Here is a 12590-nt window from a genome sequence, read left to right on the forward strand (position 1 = left end):
AACTTTGCAGGTGTTTAGGTTTAGTTGGATATTGCTGTCTGTGAGTCCCTAATATTTTCCTATTAACATTTATGAAGTCTAAAAGCTCAGTTCTTGAACCCCTAAAAGCTCAGTTCTTGAACCCCTTCCTTGGGAAGAAAAAACACGAGACAGCCTTTGTAGGATAATAAGGGCATTACAAAATAACAAAGCTCCCCTGCTTTGGGATTGCTCAATTATTCAAAACCTTCCACCCTGTTTGTGCAAGAGAGTAATAACCAGACTTTGGGAATGGTCACACAGCTACATGGTGGAAAGCTTGGGCCATGGATTATTATAGTGCTTAATTAAACTCAGTCACTAGGGCATACCCAAATTGCCTTAAAGCTAGATGTGTTGGAAAAACTGGTTGTAGCTTCTGGAAATCTGATCTTAGGTAATGCTGTGTATCCCCACACACCACTTGCAGTACAGTCTTCTCAATTCTAGCTGTGTCCAACATCTTTTTGAGAGCAGACCAATCTCTTATGAAATCCTTTTAATCTCACTGTTTAATCCTCATTTGAAATGCTATCATGCTCCCAATCCTACTTTGTTACCCTTATTTGATGAAGGTCAACCACATGACTGTAAAATGGTAACCTCTCAATCAGTCATTATTTCCCATCTTGATTTACAGGACATTCCTTTTCAAAATCCTTTTTGAGTGTTTTTTTTTTTTTTTTTTGGATGGATCTTAATGTTAAAGATCAGGAAGAAAACTTTTGTGCTGGATATGCATTCACCATCCAATATGAGTTCATTGAAAGTGGCAAACTTCCCTACTTGAAGTCTGCTCAAGAGGCAGAGCTTTGTGCACTTGCCCGTGCCTGTATTTTATCTAAAAACCAGTCTGACTGACAGTTGCTATGCCTTTGCGGTAGTTCATAACTTCGGAATGCTTTGGAAACAAAAAGATTTCTTCACATCTGCAGGCACGTCAATAAAATATGACCCATAAGTTGATGAGTTCCTTACTGCTATACTGCTGTCTAAAGAGATTGCTATCATAACAAAGAGGCTCCTATAAAAAGCCTCTATTGCTATCAGGGAGATGCTCTACCCAGCTTTCATGCCAAAACTATTACTCCACCCTGTGAGGTCTGTTATGTAAATCCTTCAGCTAAAAAGAAAAACTATAAAGCAACGGTCCTCAACCTTTTTGGTGACTGGCTTCGTAGAAGACAGTTTCTCCACAGACAGGGTCGGGGGATGGTTTCAGAATGATTCAAGTGCATTACATTTATTGTGCACTTTATTTCTATTATTATTACATTGTATTACATAATGAAATAATTATAGAACTCACCATAATGCAGAATCTACGGGAGCCCTGAGCTCGTTTTCCTGCAATTAGATGGCCCTATCTGAGGGTGAGGAAAGACCATGACACCCGAAATGTGTTGCTTACATTCAGTCTACTCTGTAACCTCGTTTTATTTGCTGTCACTGCAGAAAACCCTGTTTCACAAAGGTAGGATGTTAGAAATGGAAACAGGCTTTTCAGTGCTCTTGTGGCAATTGCCGGATATTCCACCTTGACAGTTAGGATTTGAAGTTGTCTTAAACATCCTTTTAAGGCCACTGTCACTTGCAGTGTCAAGCAGTTGATCCTCTTCTAGCGTGGACAAAGTCAATTCACCTGGCTTATTCACAAATGGGTCGTGTATCCATTCCTTCCCAGTCTGGGGGTCTTTTGTGGTTGGGAAGTAATGCTCAGACTCTTTTGAAAGCTGAGATAGGTGATCACCCACCAGCTGAAAGAAAGAAGGCCCTGGCTCAGTCTCTCTCAAAGTCTCTCCTAATGTTTGAAACATGTCAGAAATCCCCACGTTCACTAGTGGCCCCCATAATTTTAGTTTGGCTTTGAATGCTGCCACTTTATCTGCCAACTTGAACCCAGCTGTTGTTCTCCCCCAAAGTGACAGGTTGAATTTGTTGAGCAGGTTGAATATGTCACACAAGTAAGCAAGTTTTGTGACCCATACTGTGTCACTGAAATGTGCTGCCAGTGGTGACTATTTTTCTAAAAGAAATCTTTGAAGTGGCTCTTGTAATTCAAAAACTCTGGCCAGCAATCTACCTTTAGAAAGCTATCTCACTTCTGTATATAAGAGAAGGCCTGTGTGCTCTGCATCCATCTCCTCACAGAGCTGCACAAACAGACATCAGTTAAGGGCATGTACTTTGATGTGGTTGATCATTTTAATCACATGCTGCAAAATGATAAGTTCAGGTGATGTTTCTCAGCTTGCAAGCATTTCTCTATGGATGACATGGTGCATTTCTCTATGGATGACACGGTGCAGCTAGCAAGCATTTCTCTATGGATGACACGGTGCTTCTGACTCACATTCAGAAGCAACCTCTTGGACCCTAGTAGTGAAACCAGAAAGCCGTCCAGTCATGGCAGCCACTCCATCTGTGCATATGTGACACAAGATGACCATTTCAGTTTTCCTGATATGTAATCGTTCAAAGACTTGAATAGTTCTGCAGCCATAGTGTTGGTTGGCAACGAAAAGTGCACATAACACATCCTCATGCACATCCTCCTGAAAAATATAGTGCACAAAAACAAGCATTGTTGCCTTGTTGTCAACATCAGTAGGCTCATCAACCTGGATTGTGTACCACAGCCACTCATTCATCCTCTCTAACAGTTGTGCCTCAGTATCCTCTGCTATTTCATCAATTCATCTAGTTATGGTGCTAGGTGAAAGAGGAACACATGCCACCTTTTGAACTGCAGTCTGTCCTAAAGATCATGATATATGTCCTTAGCAACAGGCAGGATCAATTCTTCACCAATAGTAAAGGGCTTCTTAGCTTTAGCAGTGCAGTTAGCCACCAAGAATTATTCTGAGTGCAGACACATTTGATGAAGCGGTGTCCTTCAATAATTGCTTCTGTTCGTTATGTTCATGTTTTTTTTTTCTTTTGAAAAACTGCAGAGGCTTACCTTTTAATGCAGGGTGCTTTGTCTCTATGTGGTGAAGCAGTTTTGAAGGTTTCATGGCTTTGTTGGATAGCCAGTTGCCATATGTTATACATAGTGGGCTTGGAGAATGTGACTCACCTGTTGCAATAGACCTGTAATTTAAGTAGGACACTTGGTATTTTCTTTTAAATGGAGCTTTCTTTTTGCTCACAGTCTTAGTCTTCTGCTGTTTCATAATTGGGTATTTTCCCTTTTTCAAAGAAGCTCTCCATTGACGTTTGTTTTTTACTCATTTTGGCTATGGTTAGCATGTGGGCTTACCAAAACTGTGACTGTGACAAGTACACAATGCGGGAAAGAGTCACGGACAGCAGTGATGAATAAAATAACGGGCGGGCCACACGTGGACTAAAATAAGTCTCAGATTCTGACTTAAAGCCTGCCACCAGATGCAGCTATACAATTGAAGTACCTCAACTTACTTTCCACTATAAAGCCTGCCACCAGATGCAGCTTAATTGTCACTTGCCACTCTCTGATAGGGTTTTGATATGAGTCTACAAGCAATTGATTTATTATGGTCTCTGTGCAGTCAAACCTCTCTGCTAATGTTAATCTGTATTTGCAGCTGCTCCCTAGCGCTAGCATCACTGCCTCAGTTCCACCTTAGATCATCAGGCATTAGATTCTCATAAGGAGCATGAAACCTAGATCCCTCACATGTGCAGTTCACAATAGGGTTCTTATTCCTATGAGAATCTAATGCTGCTGCTGATCTGACAGGAGGTAGAGCTCAAGTGGTAATACAAGTGATGGGGAGTGGCTTTAAATACAGATAAAGCTTCACTTGCTCACCTGCCACTCACCTCCTGCTGTGTGGCCCAGTTCCTAACAGGCCAAGGACCTGTTACCAGTCCAGGTAGCAGGGAGCATGCTTTATAGCAGGGGTCTCCAAACCCCAGGCCACAGACCGGTTAAGCAGGGGTTGGGGATCCCTGCTATAAAGCACATTTCCTGCTACCTGACTTTGCCTCTTTAAACCCAGATACTGTTGGCTATGGACAACAAAGTGCTTCTAAGCATGAAAAAGAATATTGTCAATGAGTGGGATGCTATTTTAATTTCTTTTCCTAACTGTGGGAAAATGAAGAGGGTTATATGGTGTTCCCAGGCTTCCTTAAGGGACCTTTGTTAGGCTCCTTACATTTCTTTATCCATAATGGTATTGGTAAGATGATACAAAGAATCAGTAGGTATTGGTGAGGAAACCATTATAAAATTGCAAACATTATTTATAATCAGTGCTTAATCGGTCAACCTCTGAAGCCAGGAAAGTCTGTTTCTGTTCTTCCTGGGATGACTCCTGTCCATCAGGCCCATCTGAGCATTTATAATTAGATTTCAATTAACTCCTACCAAGTATGGGTTATCAAGATGTACTTGCTATAGTCTGTATGTTTTCTGGATGGGTCAGACCTAGGATGGGATAGTCTTCCTGGTGCATGCTCTCAAAAGTCTTAAATTCCTGCATGCAGTCATCCACCCAATGCCAAATAGTCTCTCTCCAGCCAGAATGACAAAAACTCAAAGAAATGTGTAATAATGAGGACACTCTAACCTGTGAATAATGTGTTGAGACTGAAAATCCAGAATGATGATCACTGAGTGTAGCACTGATGCCCTAAGTCTCACCTGGGTGAGAGCCTGACCAAAAGCAGGGGTTTGTTAAATAAAATATACAGGAAGCCATTGTTTTGGATTGAGCTCCTCTGCTAGACCCCAACAGACCAAACCAAAATGCAGTCACTCATGCTGATTGCCACATAATCAAACTGCAACTTTAAGGAAGCAAGATAATCCTCACCCCGCCCTGCCCGTCCCAAAGGCCAGTTTTTCCTAAAAATACGAGATTCACAGCAGCCAATCAGAAAGGGCCCAGTTACCCTGAGCCAACATGCTCTCTGCTTTAACCCTTACAAAGAAAGTGACCTGAAGTAACCTGATGTTAACCAATCCACATTTATTTTTGTGTTTTTCTGTTTCCTTGTTCTTGCTCAAGCTATCTCACAAAACTGACTGTTCTGCCATGTCCAGTGGAGCTTCCCTCTATTTTTACATGGGAGGCTGACTGATTCATGAATCACTAGTAAAAGCCAATTAGACATTTAAACTAAATTGGTTGAAATTTTGTTTTTTAACAGGATACATGAAGAGATTAATCATGATTCTTGATTCATGATATGCTTTTATCAAATGTCTATATAGGGACTTCTATCTATTAACAATAACAACAACAACAACAATAATACACATTGTTAAAACCACCACCTAACATGAAACTAGAACCCTGACAATAGCTTTCATCAATGTGGTTTCTACTCATTTCCTCTCCGTGGATTTAAGGGGGAAATATTTGCATTCAATTTTTTTTAAAGGAGCAAAGAAAGTAAAAGCATCTCAGTGGATTTTCCACGTTCAAAGAGTTTGAGTGTTTCCCAGCTATTCTCTAAGGTTTCACAAATTGACTCACCTTTTTAGGAAGCTGACTCTTTGACACTTTGGGAGCTGAATTTTATAGTAGCATTAACCATGCAAATTTCCTAGAAACCTCAGTGTCATTGAACAAGTAAATCCTATTGCTGCATTTGTCACTAGTCATAGGCAGAAACATCTTTTTTTATAAGAAATTTTAACCCTTACTTTGTTAAAACTATTACTTTACCAAAATACCACAAACATTTTATCAAAGACACATACAGACTGTGTGCTGAGCAGTGGCTAATATCTTGCCTGACCACCTTTGATTTTCTTCATTGTCCGCAATGAAGTATCTGCAATTGCTCATAAACCTAAAGGTGAGAGGACACTGGAAATGGTGTTATGGTCCTCTCTGCCCTCTAACCATCACCTAATCTTGTGATTCTTCCAACCTTACAAAAGAGGAAAAAACAAAAAGCAGGCACCATTTTGGGTAAGTCCAAAATATGTTCTAATCTATTTTTATCACAGTAAAACTTTGATTAGCCCAAACTAACATTCTGAATCTAGGAACAGTCAGACCTGTCACTCCACACACTTGAATTTTTAACAAAAGAACATGATGAAACAAGGACATCACCTCCCACAGATGTGCTAAGTGCCCTGTTGTAGCTACAATGCCACTCTATTGATTGAGGATTGTAATGCACATGCCTCTTAGCAACAGTTTTAGTTGCCTAATTTGAGTTGGCAGCTGTATTAGGATTTTTAGAGGAACAGAACCAATGGGATGGATGGATGGACAGATAGGTAGATAGATAGACAGATAGATAAGAGATTTATTAGGGGAATGGGCTCACATAATTATGGAGACAGGGAAGTCTCACAACAGGCTCTCTGCAAGCTCAAGACCCTGGGATGGCAATATTGTGGCTCATTCCAAGTCCAAAAGCCTCAGAATCAGGAAAACCCATAGAGTAATTCTCAGTCCAAGGCTGAAGCCCTGAGCACCTGGGAGGCCACTGTTGTGAGTCCTGGAGTTCCAAATCTGGAGAGCCTGGAGTTCTGATGTCCAAGGGCAGGAGGAGACTGTCTCAGCTCTAGGAGAGGGTAAGAGAAAGTTCTTTTCTCTTCTTTTTTTTTTTTGTTCTATTCAGGCCCCCAGTTGATTGGATGGTGCCTGCCCACATTGAAGGTGAATCTTCCCCACTCAGTCCACTGATTCTTATGCCAGTCACCACTGGGAACACCCTCACAGATAGCCAGAGGTAATGCTATACCAGTTCTCTAGGTATTCCTTAATTCAGCCAAGGTGACACATAAAATTAGCCATCACATTAGTTAACTTCCATCACTCTGTATTCAGCCTCTTTGCTGCAATGATTGGAATCTACATTCCTTTCGTGTCTCTCATGTTTTTGTCTAGCTCTTGGCAGCAACTCCATAGTCCTTCTAAAAATAGGTTTAACTGATTAAAATATTTTGCTTCGAAGTTTTATTTACTTATCTTACAAATGATTTATTCTCACTGTGGAAAAATAACAATATAGTAAAGCAGAAAGAAAATCAAAATTTTATAAGTCAGATTAAACATCATTGTGGTCCTTTCTCTGTCTCTCATTTTGTATGTTTGCATGTGCATGTGCATGTGCATGTGTGTATGTGTGCCTGTGTGCGTGTGTGTGCATGTAAAAGGACAGTTTTGGCTGTTTGAAGTTGGCAATTATCTCACCAAAATTTCCCACCAGTGTGTGTTTGCATCTATTGAAATGCTATGGCTTTTCTTTTGCAAGTAGAGGAGAACAGAGGAGTTGGGTTGGGGGCAGAGTGTAAGAAAAGAAGGAGGAAACTAAAGGGAATAAGGTGGCACCTCTCTCATCCTACCCACTCAACTAGGTTTGAGTCACTGATCAGAGCCAAAAATGGAACAAACTGAATTATAGTTGATCAGGTGTGAACCATTTCCCTCATCATGACTTTATACTGATGTGGTATGTATATAGGATCTGTTGGGAACTCCTCAAAAGAACCAGGGGACACTTCAACTGGCTCTAAGTTTCTGCTTTGAGGAGGGGAAGCTGAGCGGTGTTATATTTGGATGTACATATATGTGATGCTATTTTACATTCATTCAACTTTCCAGTCAATCTTTGTTGAGTGCTATGTTAGTTTTCTACTGCTGTTGTAACAAATCACTACAGATTCAAAACAACACAAATTTATTCTCCTAAAATTCATGGGGTCAGAAGTCCAAAATGAGTGTTATGGATTAAAATTAAGTTGTTGGCAGAGTTGCTCCTTTTGAAGTCTGTGAAGAAGAACCCATTCCTTGCTTATTTTGCATTCTAGAGGCTGCTGCATCCTTGGGCATCATCCCACTCATGTCACCTTTCATTCCCCTTCCTCTGTTATTACATCACCTCTTTCTTCTTTGGCCTTTTTGCCTCTCTCTTATGAAGACCCTTGTGATTACATTTAGTGCCCACCCAGATAATTCAGGATAATTCCCCTTCTGAAGATCACGTCGGCAAAGACCCTTTTGCCATATAAGGTTTTCAAATTATTAAAGGAAGAAAACTTGGAATCCAGAATTTTATATCCAGCAAACTGTTATTCAGATGTGTAGGCATGGTAAAAATGTTTCCAAGTATAGGCACTCCTCAGTTTACATGGTAATGCAGGACTAAAAAGGTTTTGCTGAAACCATGCAAAGCTATATTAATAATTAATCAGAAAACTGGGAATTGTTCCATGCCCTTCAGAAATTTTTGTCAAAATATTAAAAACTCTTATTCATAAATGTATTAGGAAATGAAAAAAATAGTAAAACTAGTATTTATTTAGTATATTATGATTTAAATCTTAGAAACATTGAGAATTAACAAATTTCTTTGTGAAAAATATCAAGAATATGATATTTTCATATCTTTGAATTGTTTGATTAAAGGATATAAAGTTTCAGATAGATGGGAGGAATAAATTTTGAGTTCTATTGCATAGTAGGGTGACTAGTTAATGATAGTGTATAACATATTTCAAAATAACTAATAAAGTAAATTTCAAGTGTCTCACCACAAAAAAAATGGGTGAGGTGATGAATATGTTAATTATCTTGATTTAGTGGTTCTACATGGTAAAATTTATTAAAACATCACATTGTCTCTTATAAATACAATTATGATTTGTCAATTAAAAATCATAATTAAAAAGTATCAAGAGTAGTTTGAATAATGCTTGCTTTCTTTACTTCATATAAATTATGGTGTATCAATTACCTCCTAATTAAATAAGTTAATCTATTTTACTCCTTATTGGCCACTTTGTGATTCTTTCTTTTTTTGCCTAAATTCGTGATGATATTCCCTTCCAAAAAAAGTCTGTCTCATCAATATAAATATTTGCTGATCATTATAACCATCTGCCTTAACTATTTCTCAGAATCTGAGTGCAGATTTTACAGCAACATTTTTATTTGCAATAGTAGCTTCACCAGATAGTTTAACATTAATCAATTCACGCTAATTTCTGAAATGGTGAAATCAGACTTTATCTTCATTCTCCTTGTAATTACTGTTTGTTTTCCATGTGGTAACTAATTTCACATTTTGCCATGAATTCTTGCCAAATGATTGGAATTGTTTGTTAAATCTTTAAAGTAGAAGTAAATGCTCAATTTCAATGATAAGTGGCTTTCTGTTAAATGGTGCAATTTAAATTAAAATATGTTGATATGACTTTATCTTATTTTTTGTATTTATCAGACATTTTCAACATGGTTCATACTGTACCATCCTGCAGACCTAGTTCTCATCTTTTGCTTTGCTGCTGCCATTTTCAAATCTTATAATTACATCCAATTTCACTTTCAGACTTAACACTTTTTATTTCTTTTGCAATTCATCTTTGTTAGCCAGTTCCTTCATTTGATTATCCATTTTTGCAAAAACATCACATGAGGTTGGTTATCACTGGGAGACAATGAGGCAACACAGCTACATGCTTTGCTCTTGTCACTTGACCTGATTAACAGATGCACAGTGACTGATCGCCAACAGACTTTGAAAGAGTGGTGTGGATGGTCACTGCTCATGATCTATCTCTTATTTACATGCTGATTGAAGACTGAAGGGCAAAATTTTTATTTTATGTAATTAATCACAGTTATAATAACTATATACTGAAATTGAACCATTGCTGTTAGAGTCTGCTGTTATTTAACTAAATTGCAGTAACTGAAATTTGCATATATCAGAATTATGCTTAATGAGGACTGTTTGTATATAAGATTTCAGAAGCTTTACCTCACCAAGTTCCAAAGTGAAGACAAATTTCAGATGAGCTGCTGAAATGAGAAAAGCAATGACATGGGAAAAAAAGAAAGAAAATCAATGACAAAGAAGATGTTGTGTTCTAAGAAATTTATGAAATAAAGGTGATCAAATAGTGTTTCTTGTTGCTTGGAAAAATATTTGAGACCAAAGAAAAATGGAAAATATATCTATATCACATAAAATTAAATATCTAGATTATAACAAGCTAATGGGGTGGGGGAGAAGAGAGGGAGAAGGAAAGGATGTGAGAACATGCTAAACTTTTTGTTTCATTAGCAGGAAAATAAGATATCAAGTTTTAAAAACGCAAAGTTAAAAGCAACTAAAATCAAATATGTGCTTTTAGAGGGGTACATCTAGATACAAGAAAACTACATAAAAATAAAAGCAAAGGAATGACAAACATGTGATTCAAGATGATGGTTGTTGGGTTGGGGGAGGCAATGAGTAGGACAGGAGAGACTATACAGTTAGTGTAAGTTACTATTGGGGCCCTAGCTTTTGTTTTGGAGGTGTGGTATACAGCTCAGTGACTGCTGTGAGCTGTATGTTTCCCAGGATTTGTGACTTCCACGGAAGCTTAAGCCAGACTCTATTTAGCTTCTCTTTTGTAAGGGTTTGGGTTGTCTTTTAATAGTGGCAATAAAGCTCACTATTTTATGTATTTATTTTAAAAATAATTTTAACTTTTATTTTAGATTCAAGAGATGTATGTGCATGTCTGTCACATGGGAACTCTGTGTGACACTGAGATTTGAGGTATGGATGATCCCATCACCCAGGCAGTGAGCACAGCACCCAATAGGTCACCCCTCAGACCTTCCTCCCTCCCTTTCTCCTCCAGCAGTCTTCATTGTCTATTGTTTCCATCTTTGTGTCCACGTGTACTCAATGTTTAACTTCCACTTATAAGTGAGAATATGCAGTATTTGGTTTTCTGTTCCTGCGTTAATTTGCTTAGGATAATGGCCTCCAGCTGCACCCATATTGCTGCAAAGGATATGATTTCATTCTTTTTTATGGCTTCATCATATTCCATAGTGTATATGTAGCACATTTTCTTTATCCAGTCCATCGATCTTTTTTCCCTAAGTTATTGGGGGTACAGGTGGTATTTGGTTACATGAGTAAGTTCTTTAGCGGTGACTTGTGAGATCTTGGTGTTCCCATCACCCGAGCAGTATACACTGCACCATATTTGTAGTCTTTTATCCCTCGCCCTCCTTCCATTCTTCCCCCCAAGTCCCCAATATCCATTGTATGATTCTTATGCCATTGTGTTTCATAGCTTAGCTCCCACATATCAGTGAGAATGTTCTCATATGATGAGAATGTTCTCATACAATATTCTCATACGATGTTTGGTTTTCCATTCCTGAGTTACTTCACTTAGAATAATAGTCTCCAGTCTCATCTAGGTCTCTGCGAATGGTGTTAATTCATTCCTTTTTATGGCTGCATAGTATTCCATTGTATATACATACCATAATTTATTTATCCACTCATTGATTGATGGGCATTTGGGTTGGTTCCACAATTTTTCAATTGTGAATTGTGCTGCTATAAACATGCGTGTGCAAGTATCTTTTTCATATGACTTCTTTTCCTCTGAGTAGATACCCAGTAATGGGATTGCTGGATCAAATAGTAGTTCTACTTTTAGTTCTTTAAGGAATCTCCACACTGTTTTCCACAGTGGCTGTACTAGTTTACATTCCCACCAGCAGTGTAGAAGTGTTCCCTGTTCACTACATCCACGTCAACATCTACTGTTTTTTTGATTTTTTGATTATGGCCATTCTTGCAGGAGTGAGGTGGTATCACATTGTGGTTTTGATTTGCATTTCCCTGATCATTAGTGATGTGAACACTTTTTCATATGTTTATTGGCCATTTGTATATCTTCTTTTGAGAATTGCCTATTCATGTCCTTGGCCCACTTTTGTTTGGTTTTGTTTTGTTTTGTTTTTAGATGGAGTCTTGCTCTGTCACCCAGGCTGGAGTGCAATGGTGCAATCTCCGCTCACTGCAACCTCCACCTCCTGGGTTCAAGCGATTCTCCTGCCTCAGCCTCCTGAGTAGCTGGGATTACAGGTGCACACTGCCATGCCCAGCTAATTTTTTTGTATGTTAGTCGAGACGGGGTTTCACTGTGTTGCCCAGGCTGGTCTTGAACTCTTGAGCTCAGGCAATCCACCTGCCTCCCCCTCCCAAAGTGCTAGGATTACAGGCATGTGCCACCATTCCTGGCCATGTTTGTTTGTTTCTTACTGATTTGTTTGAGTTCGTTGTAGATTCTGGATATCCTTTGTCAGAAGTACAGATTGTGAAGATTTTCTCCCACTCTGTGGGTGGTCTGCTTACTTTGCTGACTGTTCCTTTTGCTGTGCAAAAGCTCTTTAATTTATTATTTACTATATATATGTATATGTATGTATATATATACATACATATATATATACACACATACATATATATACACACACAGACACACACATATATATATAAAATTATAAGTTTAGGTCCCAGCTATTTATCTTTGTTTTTATTGCATTTGCTTTTGGGTTCTTGGTCATGAAATCCTTCCTTAAGCCAATGTCTAGAAGGGTTTTTCCAATGTTATCTTCTAGAATTTTTATGGTTTCAGGTCTTAGGTTTAAGAGCTTAATCCATCTTGGGTTGATTTTGTATGAGGTGAGAGATGAGGATCCAGTTTCATTCTCCTACATGTGGCTAGCCAATTATCCCAGCACCATTTGTTGAATAGAGTGTCCTTTCCCTGCTTTTATGTTTTGTTTGCTTTGTTGAAGATAAGTTGACTG

General features: G+C 38.5%; 1 protein-coding gene across 1 annotated transcript in view, besides 3 other annotated features; it reads right to left on the reverse strand.

Moving 5' to 3' along the window:
- The window catches only part of PGAP4 (post-GPI attachment to proteins GalNAc transferase 4), a 60517-nt gene that overhangs the window by 34269 nt on the left and 13658 nt on the right, over positions 1 to 12590 (reverse strand). The window lies entirely within an intron of this gene.
- Positions 5656 to 6166: an enhancer, noted in NCBI's record as "OCT4-NANOG hESC enhancer chr9:104275376-104275886 (GRCh37/hg19 assembly coordinates)". NCBI's record gives its function as "activates a minimal SCP1, AML or CMV promoter by ChIP-STARR-seq in primed H9 embryonic stem cells {active_cell/tissue: H9 hESC(primed)}" and the evidence as "EXISTENCE:reporter gene assay evidence [ECO:0000049][PMID:30033119]".
- Positions 6167 to 6675: an enhancer, noted in NCBI's record as "OCT4-NANOG hESC enhancer chr9:104275887-104276395 (GRCh37/hg19 assembly coordinates)". NCBI's record gives its function as "activates a minimal SCP1, AML or CMV promoter by ChIP-STARR-seq in primed H9 embryonic stem cells {active_cell/tissue: H9 hESC(primed)}" and the evidence as "EXISTENCE:reporter gene assay evidence [ECO:0000049][PMID:30033119]".
- Positions 6676 to 7185: an enhancer, noted in NCBI's record as "NANOG-H3K4me1 hESC enhancer chr9:104276396-104276905 (GRCh37/hg19 assembly coordinates)". NCBI's record gives its function as "activates a minimal SCP1, AML or CMV promoter by ChIP-STARR-seq in primed H9 embryonic stem cells {active_cell/tissue: H9 hESC(primed)}" and the evidence as "EXISTENCE:reporter gene assay evidence [ECO:0000049][PMID:30033119]".

This window comes from Homo sapiens, chromosome 9, assembly GCF_000001405.40.
Source record: "Homo sapiens chromosome 9, GRCh38.p14 Primary Assembly".
Taxonomy (NCBI): domain Eukaryota; kingdom Metazoa; phylum Chordata; class Mammalia; order Primates; family Hominidae; genus Homo; species Homo sapiens.